At 47.2% G+C, this 22,142-nt stretch overlaps 1 long non-coding RNA gene and 2 pseudogenes across 1 annotated transcript; 2 read left to right on the top strand and 1 right to left on the bottom strand.

The window, feature by feature from the left end:
• Window positions 1-8,151: 8,151 nt before the first annotated feature.
• On the top strand, window positions 8,152-14,567 carry LOC124900478 (uncharacterized). The gene is made up of 3 exons (XR_007068091.1): window positions 8,152-9,164; window positions 11,714-12,017; window positions 12,469-14,567. It is a non-coding gene; the product is annotated as an uncharacterized LOC124900478 (long non-coding RNA).
• On the top strand, window positions 9,088-12,282 carry CSF2RBP1 (CSF2RB pseudogene 1; annotated as a pseudogene).
• On the bottom strand, window positions 14,251-14,332 carry LOC124905162 (uncharacterized; annotated as a pseudogene).

The following is a 22,142-nucleotide window of genomic DNA, read 5'->3' as shown; positions in this document are numbered from 1 at the left end:
CTATAATTTCCCCTCCACTTCTCTCTTTTTCTTCTTCACAATGTATTTGCTTATGCAATTTTTCCCACATACTTTTTGTGCTGAAATTGAAGTAGTCAGTTGTAAACGCATATTGATTATTTCAAGAGTAAAATGCTGCAATAAGTAATGATTATGAAAGCTATTAATTTTATGAAGAAACACAATAATTAAGAACTTTAGCTGAGTAGAAAAAAGATTGATTATTAATACAAATATTAAGAGAGTGCATTTGCTCGATCATTTTAGGAAGAATATTATAGACTGTTTGAGCTTATAAAGTTTAAATAACAATAAAAAGCAGAACAATGGAGATTTAATTGTATTATAAATGTAATATTTGTAGAAATTTTAGAGAAGTAGCAGTTCTCACAAGAAACAAAATCCCTTTTAAAACTCTTTCATTTTTTTAGTGGCTTAATTTCATTTAAGCCAGGGGTCCTTGAAGCAAAAGCACTATTTGAGAATTCTCTACATCTTGTGAGGAATACATTAGAAGCAAAATGTCGACTTTGTCATGTCCAAAGATAAAACAACTCTAAAATCAGTACATATCCAAGATAAATCATCTTTGAGTCAGACATAATAAAGACAATGGAGAGAATGAGGAAAGACATTGCTAAAAATAAACAAAGCACTCCACACATGTTTTACTCTGATTATTCAAATGCAAAACAACAGACTTTACAAGAATGCTTTAGGAAGGCATTTCCTCACAGTTTTGAGTCTCTGGAGGGTAATTTAAACAAAATGTTTATAGAAATGACTCCTATAGATGGCCAAGCATTTTTGGAAATCGAAGATGAAGGCTTTGGGAATCCTCTTGAACCATTAATCCTAAGTGCAGAGTTCCTTCTAGGAGCAAATTACCAGAAACTATCTGAATAATGTACCACTAAGCCCTGAAAGATTAGGGATATTATCCAATGGGCTTGTTGAACAGGAGTGTTTATTAAGCATGGCGGGAATGTGGGAGAGGAAATCCAGGAGCCATGTGTAGCAAACAGTGTTGAGAAATTGGTATTCTTCCCCAGAAAAATGTCAACATTTAAAGTTTGGATACCAACATTGGTAATGATGAAACTGTAGTAAGTGTCTGTCTCTGGACTGATGGTATTTCAGGTTTATTCTCGTATCCCACAAGTGTGTTCTATGATGATAATGGTGCTTAGACCTTCTTAAGAGTCCCAGGCTCTGCTTATGAAGATGTCAGCAGAACAGAGAGGGCTGGAGCACCCCCCAGGCTCAGAGGGATGCTGGGTCACAGGAGGACCAGGGATGGAGGTTGAAGGGCTCCCCCAGGCACATGGGGGTTGGGGACTAGAATATAGACTGATAAATACCTTCCAAGACCCAAATTTTACAGATGACGAGAGCTCAGAGCCAGGTTCAGAGACAGTGGGGGAGTACATCTAAGTTTACACAGCTACACAGAGGCTAAGTCGAGGTTGGAGCTCATCTCTCTTGGGAAGAACATAGGTCCTTCCTGATGCTTCTAAGGTCCTGTTTCCAATCATCCTTTTTGGGGCTCAACATTTCTATTGTGAGCTCATTATCTGTGAATCCACCTAAATCTCATCATTCTATTTTTCAGCCTGAACTCACCCTCCACACGCGCCTGCCCAAGTATGAGAAGATCTCCAAGGTAACTTTCCTACAGAAAATGGCTGTGTCTCTATCTGAAGCCCAAATGTTCAAGCACACACTCCTTTAATTCCCCTTTATGTTCAGTTCCCTTCCTGATGTTGCATATTCCACAAAAGAGGTTTTCTATTCTATCACCATCTCAGCCTCTGGGAGGTTCTCCAGGAATCTGTCTGGAAACCAGGACTTGGAGTTTATCAGAAAGAAACTGGCATCAGCTTAGAAAACCAGCAAGGCAAGTGGAATGAGAATGAGGGTGGGTTAGAGATTCACCCCTTCCAAAGAGAGAATAGATTCCACTCCATTGCCCCATAGAGTTTTTTAAGGACATACAGTCCAGGAAGCCTCTCCTCTCAGGACAGGCTTGGAACAATTCTGGGAGCAGGTAGCCTTGGCACACGAATGAAATGAGGATGCATGACTGGGGCCCAGGCCAAAGGGACACTGCTGTCCAGGGATTGACAAATGGGGCCCCCAATAACACCTGGGATGCCCACGAGCACCTTCAATGATAAACTAACTCATGTAGACAGAACACTTACATGCTGTGATCTGTCCAAGTGCATCATACATATCTACTAAAAATCCATATAATAATCCTGAGAGTGAGGGGCTACTATAATCTCCGTTGCACAGATCAGAAAACTGGGGGTCAGAGAGGTTAAGTAACTTGCCCAAGGCCACACAGCTTGCAAGGGGGCAGAGCTGAGATTTAAACTCAGACAGGGTGGTTCCAGCTACACAATCAATCATTACAGGATATTGCTTATCCTGACACCACCTTCCATAACTGAGTTACAGGAAATTTACCCTTCTGGTCAATTTTCATAGCTGGACCCAGGACCTCCACAAGGCTCATTGATCATTGTTTAGTTTTAAAGTATTTTATTGTTTAATGTTTTTATAAAAAGATACTTTAGAATTTGCAGTTACCACTGTCTGTAAGAAGCTTTGGCTTTGATATTTTCCTGTGTTCTACTTTCCACATACCACATACATTTCTGCATTGCACACACATTGCAGCCTGGCCGGGGGTACTGAGCTCTTGCCACTCAGGGAGCTGGGAGGCTGAGAGGCATCTTCCTCACCGAGGGAAGGGACCAGCAGTGTGAGTCTCTCTGCACTCTCTTGGTGGGTGGTGAGGGTAGACATTTCCTTGCGGCAATAAGATGCAGCTTCCTGAGCTCCAGGCAGCAGAAATCCCCCGCAGACCCTGTGCCGGGTCAGTTTTCCCAGGTCCTAATGTTTCAGGGCATGGCTGTGGGAGGAGGGCACGAAGGATGAGTCCAGCACCAGCAATCCTCTGAGAAGCATCCTCCTACTTCCACTCTGTGCACATCTCAGACTGAGCTCCTCCTGGCCAGCCGTGGGTCTGGTGCCTCTCTGCATTCCCAGTGTGGTGAAGGGGTTCAAGGAAGCCAAGTGGGACCATCCAAGACAGAAAGAATGCTGGGGACAGGACATTAGCTCAGACCCTTTATGTCCCCTGAGTACCCTCTCCATGCCAGCACCGTGATTTCACACACATGCAGGGGTGCCAAAGAGAGCTCAGGGTCCCCAGGGCGCCCCAGGCATTCCCTGAACACCCTCCAATCCTCCACTCCAGGAAAGACTTTCCCCACCAGGGAAGGGCATCCTACACTGTTCCCAGCCAGGTCCCCTTCCTGGCAGGCAGTAATTCAAGAATCATCAAGGCAGAATGTCAGTGGTTCCCACCATTCCCTCTCCTCCTCCCTGACCTTCTCCCCAACACAGGAAAAAGACAGGAAGAAAAGGTAGACACCAATCTCTGAATTCTAAACATCAGGACTCAATGTGCCCATCTCTGTGGCTTACACAGGGCACCCAGTCTTTATGTCACCAAGTGAGTTTCCTCAGTCTGTGTGCACAGCCTCATACCTGGCTGGATAGAACCAGAGATGCAAAGTAGAAAAGCATAGGCTCTGGAGCTTCTATCCTCAAGAAGTTGCTCATCTATCCATCCATCCATCCACTCATCCATCCATCCATCCATCCATCCATCCATCCATCCATCCACCCATCCATCCACCCACTCATCCATCCATCCATCCCTCCATCCATCCATCCACCCACCCACTCATCCATCCATCCATCCATGCATTCATTCCAATACCTTCCAATACCCAAATTTTCCAACACACAATTTCAAGTGCTAACTCTGTGCCAGGACATGTGCAAATAACCAGGGAGAGAGATATGAATCAGGTGTGTTTGTGGGGGGTTGGGGGTGGGCATGAACACTGAGCACTCCAGGACTGTATGGGAAGAAGGGACAGGGCAAAATAGGAACCAAGGAAAATACAAGTGATTTAGCTAACTCCGATCATCGGTTTCCATGTGACAGGCATTATTTCACTTGGTTCCTTCAAAATCATTTTGAGGTTTGTAGATGACCATCTCCAAGTAACAGATGACAGTTTTGGGGCTTGGAGAAGTAACATGCAGATAATTTGCACAAGGTCTCACTCTTAGCAATACTAGAGGTGGGAGTCCAACCCGGGTCTGTCTGGCTCTGGGCTCACACCAGCTGTGGTTATTGGAGCCACTCCCATCTGTATCCCCATGAGGAGTCAGGGAAGGCTGCATGGAGGAGGCCCTGCGTTAGCTGAGGCTTGAATGATGAATGGGAGTTTATAGTAATATTTTTCAGATTTATTCTGTGTTTAATTTAGATAATTTCAATTACTATATTTTCAAATTCACTAATATTAAGCCAATTCAATGACATTTTCTTTTCATATGTTGTACTTTTATCTGTGGCAGTTTTATTTGTTTTTATTTTGACATCTTCCACTTCTGTTATGTTCATGTTTTTGAAAAATTATTCGGCCTATTCATAATAACTGTTTCAAAGTCCTTGTCTGCCAGTTCCATAATGAGCTGCATCATTTTGGGGTTCTATCTTTGACGGATTTTTCTCTTGTTATGAGTTACATTTTCTTCCTTCTTTCTACATGTAGTAATTTTTTTTTTTTTTTTAGATGGGGTCTCACTGTCATCCAGGTTGGAGTGCAGGGGCACGATTTCAGCTCACTGCAACCTCCACCTGCCAGGCCCAAGTGATCCTCCCACCTCAGCCTCCCGAGTTGCTGGGACTACAGGTGCACACCACCATGCCTAGCTAATTTTAAATTTTATTTTATTTTTTGCAGAGACAAGGTCTCACCATGTTGTGCAGGCTGGTCTCAGACTCCTGGGCTCAAGCAATCCTCCCGCCTCGGCCTTCCAAAGTGCTGGGATTACAGGTGTGAGCCATTGCACCTGGCCTACATCTGGTAATTTTTGATTGGATGCTGAGCATTGTTTATTTTATGTTGGTGACTGCTGCATTGTATTGTCTTTCTTCAAAAAGTGTTGGACTTTATTCTGATGAGTCATTAAGTTACTTGCAGATCAGTGACATAGTTTGGATATTTGTCCCCACCCAAGTCTCATATTGAAATGTAATCCCCAATCTTGGAGGTGGGGCCTGGTGGGAGGTGTTTGGATCATGGTCGGGGGGATACCTCCTGAATGGCTTGGACCATCCCCTTGGTGATGAGTGAGCTCTTGCTCTGAGTTCACAGGAGATCCAGTCATTTAAAAGAGTGTGGCACCAGCCAGGCATGGTGGCTCATGCCTGTAATCCCAGCACTTTGGGAGGCGGAGGCAGGCAGATCATCTGAGGCTAGGAGTTTGAGACCAGCCTGGCCAACATGGTGAAACCCCGTCTCTACTGAAAATAGAAATATTAGCCAGGTGTGGTGGTGTGCGCCTGTAATCCCAGCTACTTGGGAGGCTGAGGCAGGAGAATAGCTTGAACCAGGGAGGTGGATGTTGCAGTGAGCTGAGATCGTGCCACTGCACTCCAACCTGGCAACAGAGCGAGACTCCGTCTCAAAAATAATAATAAAAACATAAAAAAAAACTAAAATAAATGTGTGTGGCAGCTGCCTCTGCACTAGTGCTCTCTCTCTCTCTCTCTCTCTCTCTCTCTCACTTGTACCAGCTTTCACTGTGTGACGTGCCTTCTCTCTTCACCTTCTGCCATGATTGTAAGCTTCCTGAGGCCTCCCCAAGAAACGAAGCAGATGCCGGTGCCATGCTTCCTGTACAGCCTGCAGAGCTGTAAGCTAATTAAACCTCTTTTCTTTATAAATTACCCAGTCTAAGGCATTCATTGATTTACAGCAATATGAGAATGACCTAATATGGAAAATATCCTACTCTCAGTGCCAATTTTCTGTATTAGGTCATTTTCATGCTGTCATAAAGAAACACCCAGGACCAGGTAATTTATAAAGAAAAGAGGTTTAATTGGCTCACAGTTCTGCAGGCTGTACAGGAAGCATGGTGCTGGCATCTGCTCAGCTTTTGGGGAGGCCTCAGGAAGCTTCCAATTGTGGCAGAAGGTGAAGGGAGAGCAGGCACGTCACAATGAAAGCAGGAACGAGAGAAAGAGAGAGAGAGATCAGCGTAGGGGTAGGTACCACACACTTTTAAATGACCAGATCTCCTGTGAACTCAGAGTGAGAGCTCACTCATCCCCAAGGGGATGGCCCAAGCCATTCACGAGGGATCCCCCAACCATGATCCAAACACCTCCACCAGGCCCCACCCCCAACATCGGGGATTACATTTCAACATGAGATTTGGATGGGGACAAAAATCCAAACCATATCAATCAGTTTGATCTTTTAAGGTTTGTTTTTAAGCTTCCTTAGAGGACTTTTATTATTATTATTATTATTATTATTATTATTATTATTATTGAGATGGAGTCTTACTTTGTTGCCCAGGCTGGAGCGCAGTGGTGCAATCTCTGCTTACTGCAATCTCCGCCTCCTGGATTCATGCAATTCTCCTGCCTCAGTCTCCCAAATAGCTGGGATTAGAGGCACCTGCCACCACGCCTAGCTAATTTTTGTATTTTTAGTAGAGATGGGGTTTCACCACGTTGGCCAGGCTGGTCTCGAACTCCTGACCTCAAGTGATCCACCCGCCTTGACCTCTCAAAGTGCTGGGATTACAGGCATGAGCCACCATGCTGGCCTAGAGCAGTTTTAGAATGGCCCTCTCCTGGGCTGGTTTAGTGCTGGCACTAAGGTGTTTTTCTTCTTGGTTCTCTACTGAATGTGTGAGGTGTTCAGTAAGAATTCCTATTCTGGCTTGTTGGAACTTGAACATCTCCCAGACCTTGGTGAGTTCTGGAAATTGTTCAGATACATCTCTCTGTGTACTATTTACACAGTCTAGTGGAGCTCCACCCCACACATGCATGGTTTAGTGTGCAGCAGTACATGCAAGAGGATCTCTGTGTAGATTTGCTGGGTCTCTTTCTCTGTGCAGCTCTTTCTTCTCTTGTTTTCTACACCAAATTCCAGCTTCTTTTGCCTCTTCAGACTCAGACCCCTATCGCCCAACACAGCAAGACTGCCATGGTCATGTTGGAGTTCTTTTACCTACGTCACAGTCAAGAAAGTGGTAGAAAGGTAGAAAAAGGTAGGCACGGTGGTTTATGCTTGTAATTCCAGCACTTTGGGAGGCCGAGGTGGGAGGATCACCTGAGGTCAGGAGTTCATGACTAGCCTGACCAACATGAAGAAACCCCCGTCTCAACTAAAAATACAAAATTAGTTGGGTGTGGTGGCGAGTGCCTGTAATTCCAGTTACTCGGGAAGCTGAGGCTGGAGAATCACTTGAACCCGGGAGGCGGAGGTTGCGGTGAGCCGAGATCACGCCGCTGCACTCCAGCCTGGACAACAAGAGCGAAACTCCCTCTCAGAAAAAAAAAAAAAAAAAGAAAAAGAAAAGAAAGGTAGGATGATCATAGGACCTACCGTGTTTGTTTTCACTCTCTGAGCGATCATATAGAAGGACTCCTCTTTTCTAACAGCTGAAAACAGATTTTTAATATCGTTTGTCCAGTTTTATACTTCTAAAGTAGAAGGCTATACCTGGTCCTAGTTACTCCATTATGGCCAGAAGCAGAAGCCTCTTCTCCCTCTGCCCATGCCTGTCTTTTGCCCCTCCTCCTCCACTTGGAGCCATTTGGCCCATTTGGGTGTTGACTTTGATGCAAGTCAGGGGTGCCTGCATTGGCGTCTGTGCATGTGGTTGTGGGTGTGTGTGTTTGTATAGTGCCTGGGTATACGTGAGTCCTTAAGGTGGAAGTGGGGCATGGGAATGGGGTGCAGGGGAAGTGGGCTGTGGGAATGGGGTCCAGTGGAAGTGGGGTGTAGGAATGGGGTGCAGGGGAAGTGGGGGATGGGAATGGGGTGCAGGGGAAGTGGGGCATGGGAATGGGGTGCAGGGGAAGTAGAGGTGTGACGGAAGTGGAGAGGTGTGAAATAGCTTCTTGGGAAGGGCAGAGTTCCTCCTTGCTGCTGGGAAGTGTCATTTGGGGTTCTGGCAGCGTTAAGAGCCTCCCCACAACCCCCGCCTCCGATGGTAATCCTGAATTTAAGTGAGACCAGCTGGTGTGGTTTTGTTCAGCTGAGCATGGCCAGGGCAGGAAGACTGAGAGTTCACCATTTTCTGTACCGAGAAGCCCTGCTGCCTCCTCAGGAACTCCATTCCTATCCTGTCCTCCTTCCTGGCTCGTTCCCAGCATCCTCAAGGTCTTGTCAGCGCCCTCGTAGGGTGGTCAGGTCCCATCAGGGTTGTCTGAGCATGTGTGTGCAGGTATGTGTAGGTGTGTATGTGGGTGTGTGAGTGGGTGGAGGCTTGCGTGTTTCATGGTTTCAGAAGTGTTGAGAAAGAAGAAAAGAAGACCTCTGTCTTTTCTTCTGACATCACAAAGGGCAAGAAACTAAGAAATGCCTCAGGCTCCTGCAGAGAAGAAGGGATGGGCAGTAACAGCTTGGGGCAGGTGAGGAAGGATGGTGGAGTGTTTGGTGTTGAGTGAGGTGGCCCAAAGGGAGTCTGTGCATCCTCAAGACCTGGGAGGAGACAGGCTCCATCTGTGGTGGGTGGATCCACAAAGCTTATCTGCCAAAATCACTTGAAGAGCTTAACGCAGCCCACTTGGGCATCAACCCAGTAGCACCCAATACAAACACACAGAATCTACACCAGCACTGCGGGGAAGGGTGAGAGTGGCAGAGGAGGAGATCCACACTAGGTGGAGAAGGCGCAGGACCAGGCTCCCCGTACCCCCAACATGGCCTTCTCCCTCCTCATCGGCCATATCCCTGGGAAGACGAGAGGGGTGGATGGGCCTTATCCTGGCCCACATCTCCTTTCTCAAGACCTGGGGTAGGATGGCAATTCATGGATGGAGGAATAACAAGACCTGGTGAGATCAGCTTGGCCTGGCTCCCAGCTGGGCAGGAACACAGGACTCCAGGGCATGGAAGACCCCACCCCAGCCCATGGCCAGCATCCACCTGTGCCAGCACCTGCCTGTCCAGAGCTGACCAGGAAAATGGTGCTGGCCTGGGAGCTGCTCCTCATGGCCCTGCTGGCCCTGTGCTGGGGACTTAGCCTGGCAGGGGCAGAAGGTGAGTTCCGTGGCTCCCACCCCTTCCCTGCCCCCTCCTCACTGCTGCACCCTGGAGGAGGCCCGCACCATACCCCCAGGACCCTGCCCACCCACCCTCCTCCTGCTCCCCTTGCTTCGTCTCTTCCCCGGCCTTCCCTGGGCTTCCTTCACTTCCCTCCTCCTGCACATTCCTGCTCATCCTGTCCTGGAAAGTCCAGCTGAGTGTGTCTGGGTTCCCAGCCCATATTTCTCAGCACGGCACTCCAGGCCCCCAGGCTCCAGGGTGGCTGCTCTGACCGTTTCCCTTCTCCTCCTTCCCCAGCAGACACTCGCTGCACCTCAGTGGTTCCACCTCCAGACCTTTGCTCCAGCAGCGTCCTGGCTTGGGGTTCATCTCAAGGCTGGGTTGATGCCTGGGGGTCTGGGGGGCAGGGCCTGTCGCTGCTGCGTGTCTCCATTCTGCAGGGATTGCACGGTGCTTCTGTCAGGAGAGGAGGGTCCACAGGCAGAAGCTCACCCTGGCAGACCCCCTTCCCAACCCAGGGCACCTCTGCCCCAGATCAGCTGGGGGTGGTGGTGATAAGGGACCCTGCAGGGGAGAGAGGTGACCCCTTCCTGCCCCTCTTGTCAGAAACCGTCCTGCTGCAGACCCTGCGCTGCTACAGTGACTATACCAGCCACATCACCTGCGGGTGGGCAGACACCCAGGATGCCCAGCGGCTCGTCAACGTGACCCTCATTCGCCGGGTGAATGAGTCTGTGACGTTGGGTGCAGGGGCCACGGGTAGGGGCTACGGTGTCCCCTCTGCCTGGCGTGGGATGGTGGTGTAGAGAGGGATGTGTCAGGTCAGCCTCGGGGTGGGAGTAGACAGAGGACAGAGGAGGACGGAGGCCCTCCCGGGAGCTCCTGCTCAGCCAGGCACCTGCCAGGCACTACTGTCTGATCTGGGGTTTCTGGGGAGCACGTTCTACACTGATGTCGTTGAGGATGGTGCTGGTAACAATGGTGACAATCTTCTCTTATTTTGTCACAATTTAACACAGTTGCCCCACATGACCTATCTTAGTTCCTCCTCACTGCGAGGTGGGCAGGGCCAGGCCACGACGCCCAGTTCACAGATGGGGAAACTGAGGCCCTGGAGGTGAGGCGCCAGCCCTGGCCACAGATGGGGAGTGGCAGAACAGGCCGTGTGGACGTGTTTGGGAGGGGGCTCCATGCTCTCCCAGGCTCCTCCTCTGCATGTGGGCTGCCACCTCTCCCACCCGAGCTCTCCTGGGCACGAACCACACAGGAAGGGGACCGGCATTGCTCTGCGGTGTTGGCCAGGGTCTGAATCAGCCTTAAATGAAATAATTAAGCCACTGGAACCAGAGAGGCAGGTGACAACTGATTGGAGGTCTCCCCACCTAGAGGGGGAGGGGGCCCCAGCTCTGCCACCCCCCACCCCTCCACCACCTTCAGTTCTCCTGGGGAGCTCCATCAGACCTTCTCCATTCTCCTCAAATACCATCCTGCCCCTCCCTGTGATCTGCTTCCTGTTGCTCTGACATAACAGGGGACCAGGGAGAAGCTCCCCACCCACCCCACACTCACACTCCCCACCCCCTCTGCCCACCACTGGGGCCTGGGCCTGGGCCTGGTTCTGGGCTGGGGCTCCTGTCTAAGGCTAGAGACCCGATGCAGTCTGGCCCTGTTGCTCAGGAACATCACGGCCCCCAAGTCCCCACTCTTCCCTGTGTCACCCACCGTGCCCTCTCCCAGGATCTTTCCCAATCGCCTTGCAAACCTGCCCCAACCCCCTCACAGATGCCCACAGGAGTGCAGCGCCTGGGCATCTCCTGAGCTCACAACCCTGCGGTCCCCCTTTCTCTGCTTCCCTTGACAGCAGCAACCCCATAAAGAGTTGTCCACGCTCATCATGTCCAGTGTCTTTCCAGCCATTTCTTCCTGAGCCCACTTCCCCAGGATGTTGCCCCCATCAGGCCACCCAAACTGCTCTGGTTCAAGTCAGCAAACATCCCAGGAGCAGAATCTCATGGTTGGGCCTCCGCCTTCTTCCTACTTGACCAGGGGCAGCCCCTGACAAGGAGGACCACCGCGGCCTCCCTGCAGTTCCTCCTGCACCTGACTCTGCCCACAGCTCACCCAGCACCCCCAGGGCCCTGCCCATCCTCCTCTTTCTCCTTGTCTGCTGCCTCTTTGTTCTCTCGGCTGCCAAGGGTGAAACGCCCCAGGCCCAGTCCATGGACCTCCTCTCTGCTGTATCCACTCTGCAGAGACCACCTCCAGCCATGAGGGCATCTCCCAAAGGCGACCTTGAGCCCACACTTCCCCTAAGCTCCAGCCCTCCAGGCGCACTGGCGTCTCCACCTGTCACTTAGACAACAGGCATCTCCGACTACAAAGGTCCTCAACCAAAGTCCCCCTCTCACCCGAGTGGCTCTGCTGCCTCTGTCTTCCCCATCTCCCTTTGCTAAATGGGAGCTCCTAGTGGCTCAAACTAAACAACAGGGAGGATTTTGTTTTGTTTTTAAGTCTCTTTTGCCACCATTCCTTTCCGACTGCAGCATCCGATCCACCAAAGAATGCCGCTAACCTTATCTCAAGCAGAACGCAAATTCACCCACAACAGCCCCACTGCCCTGGTGCACACCACTTCCTGTCCCCTGGATATTCCAGAAGCTTCCTAACAGGGTTCCCTGCTTGCAACATTGCCACATTCCCACCTCAGTCTGTTCACAACCGAGGACCCTCAGGAATCCTTTCAAAGCATTCATCAAAATCTGCAACGCCTTTGCTCATGACTGTTTCCCACTCACTAGCAGTGAGATCCAATCCCGATCCAAGACCCGGAGGCTTCTTCAGTGAGCGGTGAGCACTCAATGAACCTTTGCAGAGTGAGTGATCCCCATGCACAGTGGGCTAAGCTGTGTCCTCTCCCAGCAGAGACCCTCCGGAGCCCATGTCCTGCTACCTCAGCGATGACATGCTCTGGTCAGCCTGCCCCTGTCCCCACTGTGTGCCCAGGAGATGTGTCATTCCCTACCAGAGTTTTGTCATCAGTGACATTGACTACTTCTCATTCCAGCCAGACGGGCCTCTGGGCACCTGGCTCACTGTCACTCTGACCCAGCATGGTGAGGGACAGGGGGCCTTGGCTGGGGCCTGGTCCCCTGTGTGAACCGCCCTCCTGTGGTTTCTATTTCTAGAAGGAAACAATGTTGCAACAAATATTTATGTACCTATAGTTTTGGGTATGGGTCCAAGTATTTCTAGAAGCATAATAGTAAAGTCAAAAGGTGTACGTTTTTCATTTTGCTAGATATTGTCCAAGAAACAACTTCCCACTAAAATGATCAAGAGAATGAGAAGTCAAGACAAAGAGTGGGAGAACATGTTTGCAAAAGACATAACTTTCGGATAAAGGACTGTTACCCAAATTATTCAAAGAATTCTTAAAACTCAACAATAAGGGCCGGGTGTGGTGGCTCATGCCTGTAATCCCAGCACTTTGGGAGGCTGAGATAGGAGGATCACCTGAGTCGAGACCCTATCTCTACAACAAAATTAAAAAAAAAAAAACAATGAGAAAATGAACAACCCAATTAAAGACCAGAGTAGACACTTCATCAAAGAAGACATACAGATGTGAAAAGAGCGTATGAAAAGGTGCTCAGCATCATGCATCATTAGGGAATTGCAAATTAAAACGACAAAAAGATACCGCTACACACCGGTTAGAATGGCCAAAATCCAGAACACGGACAGCACCAAATGCTGGTCAGGGTGTGGAGCAGCAAGAACTCTCATTCATTGCTGATGGGGATGCAAAATGGTACAGCCACCTTGGAAGACAATTTTGCAGTTTCTTATAAAAGTAAACATACTCTAACCATATGATCAGCAATTGTACTCCTTGGTATTTACTCCCATGAGTTGAAAACATATCCACATAAAAACCTGCACATAGATGCTTATAGCAACCTTAACCGACAAAACTTGGAAGCAAAAAAGATGTCCTTCAGTAGGAGAATGGATAAATAAATTATGATACACCCAGACAATGGAATACTATGTAGCACTGAAAAGAAATGAGCTATCAGCCATGAAAGGACACGGAGGAAACTTAGCTGGATATTACTAAATGAAAACAGTGACTCTGAATAGGCTACATACTGTATGATTTCAACTGCATGACATTCTGGAAAAGGCAAAACTATGGAGAGAGAAAAAGGATCAGTGGTTGCCAGAGGGTAGAGTGAGGGAGGGAAGAAAAAGTGGAGCACAGAGGGTTTTTAGGGCAGTGAAACTATTCTGTGCCATGTTATAATGCTGGATACCTGTCAAGATGTATTCATGTAAACTATAGCCCTTGAGTGATAATTATGTATCAACATAGGTTTATCAGTTGTAACAAATGTACCACTGTTGCCATGGATTGAATGTTTATATCCCTTCAAATTAGTGCGTTGAAATCCTTTTTGCTTTTTTTTTTAGTTTCTTTTTTTCTAAGTTCATGTCAGATAGGTAATATGCCCACATGGTAGCTGACAGAGCAGAAGCATCACCATCTTGGACAAGCACTGCCATTCTAAAGTTCCCCTTGATCAAAAATTGCCTAAATCCAAAGGTCATCAGCCTAATGACTAAGGTCAGCATGACCATAAGCCACAAATGACATCTCCGACCAGAAACATTTCAACCATAAGATAAATCCCTCCCTGACCAGAGACAAGCCAGCCCGGAGATAACTTCCCCCCCGGCAGAGAGATGTCAGCCCCAACATAACCTCCCCTTCTGCCAGAGACATTCCAACCCCACCATAAACTTCTCCCCCACACAGAAACATTCCAAGCCTGTGATAAAGCTCTCTCACTCTAAAACCAATATATACTCTTGTTGTTTATGAGCCACCGGTCTATGTTATTTTGGTTATAGCAGCCCAATGGGCTAAGACGATTGTAGTGCAGGCTGTTGATAGTTGCAATAGAGAATCCTCCTGACTGAAATTGGCCAGAAGCCCCTTTCAGGTTTATTCTCCAAAATAAACCTGTTTTTGACTGTTGAGCCCCTTTTCTGGCTTCTTTCCTCTTTCTTTAACTCTTACAGTAACAAGGTTTGAAGGTGGCACATCTCACACATGCATAGGAACACCCAATCATCACGTCTATGAATTACAAAATAATCTGTGTTGAAATCCTACCCCACAAGGTGATGGATTAGGAGATGGGCCTTTTGGAGGTGATTAGTTCATGAGGGCAGAGGCCTTAGGAATGAGATCAGTGCTTTTATAAAAGAGACCTGAGAGACTCCCTCGCCCCTTCGGCCATATGAGGTTACAGTGAGAAAGCCTCACCTATGAGGAAGCAGGCCCTAACCAGACACCAAATCTGCCAGCATGTTGATCTTGAACTTCCCAGCCTCCAGAACTGTGAGAAATAAATTCTTTTGTTTATAAGCCACTGGTCTATGTTGTTTTGGTTATAGCTGCCCAGTGGGCTAAGACGATTGTAGTGTGGGCTGTTGATCGTTGGGGAGGCTGTGCATGTGTGGGGCAGGGATTATATGGGCATTCTGAACCGCCCACTCAATTTTGCTGAGAACTTAAAACTGTTCTAAAAAGTAAAGTCTATTAAAAAAATAGACTTGTATTTTATAGTACAAGAGTACCTGTACCCCCACACACTTCCCACTCTGGATATTATCAGTTATTTTCCCAGTAATATTTACCAATGTGGTGAGTAAAAGAACTACATCTCATTTTAATTTGAATATACAGCCACACCTCATCTTATTGCACTTTGTTTTATTGTGCTTTGCAGATACCGTGTTTTATACAAATTGAATGTTTGTGGCAGCCATGCTTTTGGCAAGTCTACCATCACCATTTTTCCAACAGCATGTGCTCACTTCATGCCTCTGTTATAGGACCAATGGGTTCATATGCCCACTGTGCAGTAACAGACCCATTACATAGTGACAGCAGGGTTTGCAGCAGAGAAAGTTTAATGATTGCAGAGTGCTGAGTGACGAGATGGGAGGAGGCCCTCCCGTTTATCTCACCAAGGAGCTTTGGTCTGGGGTTTTTAAGGGGATTATAGAGGGTGAGAGACTCCCTCCATAATTGGAAAATTGGGGTTGTTGATTGGTCGGGGGGAAGGGGGGATGAAATCATCACGATATGGAAACTGCATTCTTTGGTGAGTCAGCCCATTGTGGGGTCCTTCAGACCAGCTGGGTCGGTAGTTTCATCAGTGTATGGGACCTGAAGGACTATCTCACAGGGAAAACTAAACATTTTATAATGTTCACGTTGTTATCTACGGAGCAGTTAAGGGGAACCGTGATCTTGTAACAGGGTCTATGTGATTTTAGTACGACAGGCACCAGACAGCTGTGAGGACGCAGGCTGGAGAGCAGGCCGACCTCATGATGGAGGCCAAATGTGCTGCAAGCGTGGGTGACTTTTATTTCTCCCCCTTCCTTCTTCCCTGATTCATTTCATAAAGTTTATAGGGGCAGTTTCATCTCTGTGTCACCTTTTGGTAATTCTTGCAATATTTCAAACTTTTTCATGATTATTGTCTCTGTCATGGTGGTCTGAGATCTGTGATGTTATTACTGCAATTGTTTTGGGATGCCATGATCTGTCATAGAAGACAGTAAACTTAATCAACAAATGTTCTGTGTGCTCTGACTGCTCCACCGACGGGCCGTTCTCTTATCTCTCACCCTACAGTGAGAAGCCTTCATCTATGAGGAAGCAGGCCCTAACTAGACACCTAATCTAGCCTCCCTCATCCCAGAGACCCAACAATAAATAAATTAGGCCAGTTAATAACCCTACAATGGCCTCTAAGCTTTCAAGTAAAAGGAAGAGTTGCACACATCTCTTACTTTAAATCAAAAGCTAGAAATGATTAAGCTTCACTGAAAGCCTAGATAGCCTGAAAACTTGGCCTCTTGGGAAAATAGTCAAGTTATGAATACAAAAGAAAAATTCTTGCAGGAACTTAAAAATACTACTTCAGTGAACTCATGAATGAGAAAAGAAAACAGTCTTATTGCTGATATGGAGAAATTTTAGTGGTTTGGATAGAAGACCAAGCCAGCCACAACATTCCCTTAAGCCAAAGCTTCATCCAGAGCAAGGCCTTAATGCTCCTCAATTCCCTGAAGGCTGAGAGAGGTGAGGAAGCTGCAAAAGAAAAGTTGGAAGCTAGCAGAGATTAGTTCGTGAGGTTTAAGGAAAGAAACCATCTCTGTAACATAAAAGAACAAAGTGAAGCAGCAAGTGCTGATGGAGAAGCTACACAAAGTTATCCAGAATATCCAGCTAGGATGATTAGTGAAGGTGGCTGCACTAAACACAGATACTCAATGTAGACAAAATAGCCTTTTTATCGGAAGAAGATGCCTTTTATTTGAAGCTGCAATGCTTCAAAGCACAGGCAGAATCTCTCGTTAGGGGCTAATGCCACTGGTAACTTTAAATTGAAACCAATGCTCATTTACAATTCCAAAGAACCCTAAGCCCCTTAAGTATTGATACAGTTGGCCAGGTGCGTTGGCTCACGCCTGTCATCCCAGCACTTTGGGAGGCCGAGGCAGGTGGATCACGAGTTCAGGAGATCGAGACCATCCTGGCTAACACGGTGAAACCCCGTCTCTATTAAAAATACAAAACATTAGCTGGGCGTGGTGGTGGGCACCTGTAGTCCCAGCTACTCGGGAGGCTGAGGCAGGAGAATGGGGTGAACCCAGGAGGTGGAGCTTGCAGTGAGCCGAGATCGTGGCACTGGGTGACAGAGTGAGACTCCATCTCAAAAAAAAAAAAAAAAAAAGATACAGTTTGGCTCTGTGTCCCGACCCAAATCTCATCTTGAATTATACTCCCATAATTCCCATGTGTTGTGGGAGGGACCTAGTGGGAGATAATCGAATCATGGGGACAGTTTCCTCCATACTATTCTCTTGGTAGTGAATAAGTCTCACAAGATCTGATGGTTTTATCAGGGGTTTCTGCTTTTGCGCCTTCCTCATTCTCTCTTTGCCTGCTGCCAACCATGTAAGATGGGACTTGCTCCTCCTTGCCCTCCACCATGATTGTGAGGCTTCCCCAGCCACGTGGAACTGCAAGTCCAATTAAACCTCTTTCTTTTGTAAATTGCCCAGACTTGGGTATGTCTTTATCAGCAGCATGAAAACAGACTAATACAAAAATTATGCTAAATCTACTCTGCCTGTGTTTTGGAAATGGATCAGTAAAGGCTGACAGCACATCTGTTTACAGCATGGTTTAGGAATATTTTAAGTTCACTGTTGAGATATAATGCTCAGAAAATATATTTCTTTCAATATATTACTGCTTATTGCCAATGTACCTGGTCACCCAAGAGCTCTGATGAAGATACACAAGATTAATGTCGTTTTCATGTCTGTGAACATAACAGTTATTATGCAGCCCTTGGATCAAGGAGAAATTCCTGCTTTCAAGACTTGTTATTTAAGAAACACATTTCCTAAGGCTATAGCTGTCATAGACAGTGATTCTTCTGATGGATCTGAGCCAAGTAAATTGAAAACCTTCTAGAAAGGGTTCACTACTCTAGATATCATTCAGAACATTTGCGATTCATGGAAGGAGGTCAAAACATCAACACTAACAGGGTTTGGAAGATGTCAATTACAACTCTTATGGATGACTTTGAGGGATTCAAGACTTCAGGGGAGGAAGGAACTGCAGATGTAGTGGAAATAGAAAGAAAACTAGAATTAGAAGTACGGCCTGAAGATGTGACTGAATTGCTGCAATCTCATGATAAAACTTGAACAGGTGAGGAGCTGCTTCTTACAGAGGAGCAAAGAAAGTGGTTTCTTGAGATAGAATCTACTCCTGGTAAAGATGCTGTGAACATGTTGAAATAACAACAAAGGATGAAGAATATTAAATCAACTTAGTTGACAAAGCAGCAGCAGGGTTTAAGAAGATTAACTTCAATTTGGAAAGAAATGCTATCAAATAACATTGCATGCTACCAATAAAAATTTCATGAAAGGATGAGTCCATTGATGCAGCAAACTCCATTGGTGGCCAATCACAAAATTGCCACAGCCTTCAACACAACCCCAGCCTTCAACAACCACCACTCCGCTCAGTCAGCAGCTATCAACATCATGGCAAGAACCCCCAGCAGCAAAAAGATGACAACTTGAAGGCTCACATGACTGTTAGCATTATTTTTTTTAAGCAGCAAAGCATTTTAAATTGCAGTATGTACATTGTTTTTTAGATATAATGCTCTTGCACACTCAATATACTACAGTATCCAGCAATTAGTCACATTTCTTCACTGTCTACAGCCCTTAGCCGAATAGTTGAGTCATCTCAATGGGGATGTCAAAGCAAACTAAATATGGCCTGAGAAGGACTCTGTACTTCCATATTTGAGTCCTTGTGGATGAACTACAACCTAACTTAATAGGTAGACAGGATTGAAAACCTAACTTAGGAGTATGCGTCTGTAACAATCACTGAGTTTTGGCCAATCCCAGCAGATAAACTTCAACAACTCATACGCTGCTGAGCGTTCAAACTGTGTTCAAATAAGGCAATCGCCAATCTGTAACCAATCCAGCTGTTTCTGTACCTCAGTTCTGATTTCTGTATGTCACTTTTTTTTTTGTCTATAAATTTGTTCTGCCCATGAGGCACCCCTGGAGTCTTTCTGAATCTGCTGTGATTCTGGGGGCTGCCCAATTCACGAATTGTTTATTGCTCAATTAAACTCCTTTAAATTTAATTCAGCTGAAGTTTTTAACAGGAAGATAGAGGACAGAGAATGACAAATTTCCAGAACCAGCCAGCAAGAAACACTTTTAACACACACACACACACACACACACACACACACACACACACTAGCAGATGCACTGCGTCTGAGCTGGGCATTGAAGCCTGAAGTGAGCCTGGCAGTAGCTGGGCTCAGGGAGCTCTCAGTCTAGTTGGAACACAAAGCTGTGAGCCAGGAATTACAAGATGGGTAATAAAGGCAGGGGGACAAAGTTGAGTGGCAGGACAGAGAGGCTGAGACATGCTCTGTGATAGAAGCAGGAGGTGGACAAATGCCTATGCAGATGGGGCAGGTCCTCCGTGAAACCCCACCTCCAAGCCAAAGACAGTTTAAAGCCTGAAAGCCAAGCTACAAGTTAAATCATCCGACTGGACTGGATTGAGAACTTGTCTTTCTGTTTGGCATGCTTACCTCTGATTAGTCCTCACCCTTCACCTATTTTACATATACCTCCCTACCCTTTCCTAATTGGTTTTCTTACACCATTGTGCACAGCTTTGAGTGGTGTTGTCACTTTAACCTTTTTTGCATACTCACAAACCAATCAGCATACACTCCTCATTTTGAATCCATAAAGGGCCCCAGACCGAGCCACGTGGCAAAACCTCCCCCTACACCCCACCTCCCACCCCTGAATCCCCTTTCCACGGAAAGCCATTTTCATCACTCAATAAAATTATTCTCAGCCCTCCTCACCCTCCAATGTCCAGTATATCTTCATTCTTCTTGGGCGAGGTACAAGGGCTCAGGAACCACTGAACATGGGTACAAGTTATACAAGTTATACGCGATAGCGTGGCCGAGTGAGACCTGGGCAAGGCATCACTGACTGGGGGCCCCGGCTTGCAAAGTGACCAAGAAGAAAAGTCCTACATCGTTTGGGAAGACTTGGGGATTTCCAAGGGAGCTGGAGGGGCTGTGTTCTAAGAAGAACCCACACTTGAGTTAGGACTTGTAGGGTGACTCTGTCCCTGGTGGAGTCCTGATAAATAAGCAACAATGAGGAAGAGGCCCCAGGTTGGGGAGGGCCCCAAGTGGGGAGAAAAGTCATCAATTATTCTCAGAGACAGCTAATCACAAACAACCAGGCACAACAACCTCGTTCTGCTTGTTCTGCATGTAGCCCTCTTCAACGTGACTCTATGAAACTTCCCTTCAGCCACTGCCTCTTTGCAGACAGCCCCTTCTCTGCTCATTGTAATTGCGACCTTGCAACGTATTTTCATACCTTCTCTAATAAATCTGCCTTTCTTTACCTACAACTGGCTTGGTAAATTCCTTTACCTCCTGTGCCACCAGACCCAGAGAGTTGCTACCTGCGTCACTGGGTAGATGAAGTTACCCCTGCTCAGGACACCCAGCATGACCCATGGCCCAAATCACCGCATTTCAATGCTTTGGGCACACTGACCCTGCACCCGGGCTGCCCAGCTTCTATTGATTGAGCACCACCGGATGCAGGTTGCCTTGTTGGGGTTGGGAAAGGATTGTTTCCAAACGAAGGAAAGGCTCCCTCTAGGAGCAAACGATTGTCTTGGTGCAAGGGTTCTGTGTGATCAATTAAACACGTGAAATGCTTGTGAGGCCCAAGCTGCTGATGGTCTCCAGCCCTGCTCCTTCCTTATGTAGTGTGTTCTCAGGGTTCCCCACCATGAAGGGCTCCGGGACTGGCCATTTCCACCCAACATGGGCTCTTCCAACAGGCAATTCATCCCCCAAGTTCCCCATGGGGGGACAAATGTCAACTCTGGATGGCCAATGGCTTCCCTAGCCCACTTCTGCTTCCTGCCCTCCCTTTCATCCCCCTAATAAGTTTTTTGTTCTCCTCCATCTTAGGGACAGCCTCCTGCAGGCCTTGCTCACCTCAATGATCACCTACTACATGCATGGCTCTGGGCTGGGTTCTCAGGGGAAGACAGATGAGGGAGCTGCAGTCCTCCAGGGAAGGTCTCTCTGGACTCCAATGGGTGAGAATTGCACCTTCAGTGTTCAGCTCCCAGATAAACAGACACTTTTCAGGGTCACCTCTGATTCAATCTCCCCCTGCCACCAAATCAATTTATTTGGTTTATGGATTTTTCTGTCTTGCCAACCAACATGGATCATCTTACATCTCCGTATGGATCTTTAGGTGAGAGACTTACCTTTTGAGGGCAGGCTCTGAGACACAGGGCTACAGTTCAAATCTTGGCTCTGCCCCTTACCTGCTGGCAGACCTGGGGCAAGTTGTATGACATCTCTGTGCCTTAGTTTCCTCAATGACAAAAATGATAAAGATAGTATCTTCCACTTCCATAGTATCTAAATGAATTGATCTTAGAGGTCACTCGAATGGGGCCTGCCAGGAATAAGCTCTCGATCACTCTCAGTTATTTGTATGGGGAACTCAGTCTCTATTTAGTTTTTCACTCTCATGACTAGGGAAAAATACAGGACGTTCAGTTGTGTTGGAATTTCAGATAATAATGAACGATTTTTTAAAAGTGTGTTCTTTATCCTCCTTTCCCTCACTGTCTTTCCTCTTCCCTCATCCCTCCTGGATTTTCCCAGGAGTGCCCTGCGTCTCCCTCCATTGCGTGGTGTTCCACACGCCATCATGTACCCACTGTAGTGCCCCAAAGACCAAAGGCCCTTCTGTTTGGCAGAATTCATTTCCTTGTGTTATAGGAATTATTAAAAAATTATTTGAGGCAGATAAAGAGGAAAAGTGGTCCTTGGGAAGTTTTCGTTTCTGTTTTAAAAGCAGCTCCAAAAAACGTTTCTTGTCTAGCAGGAAAGCCCCGGCTCTTAGAATCAGGCTGGCAACCTTTGATATGCAAATGCAGACCGTTAGAAACTGGGTCCACCCAAACATGGGGATTCCCGCCATCTTTTCCTTGTCCCCATGTTTGCCTGGCAATATGGCCACCCCCACATAGTCCCACCTGTGTAGAACATCATGGCGCCCTGCATTTGCATATTAAAATGCTAGGGTGAAAGGGCCAGGTTTTTCAGGGGTTACATGAATGACATGCCTGGTCAAACCAATCCCCTGAGCCCTATGCAAATCAGATACTGCCTTCTCTAGCCTCCTCATATAACTGGCTTATTTCTGTGGCACTCAGGGTTTCCTCTCTCAGCTTTGGATCCCCCCTCCCTCTGT

The sequence above is a fragment of the Homo sapiens genome, chromosome 22, assembly GCF_000001405.40.
Source record: "Homo sapiens chromosome 22, GRCh38.p14 Primary Assembly".
Lineage (NCBI taxonomy): Eukaryota > Metazoa > Chordata > Mammalia > Primates > Hominidae > Homo > Homo sapiens.
Note: the sequence above shows the minus strand (reverse complement) of the source record. Positions and strands in the feature narration are given on the sequence as shown.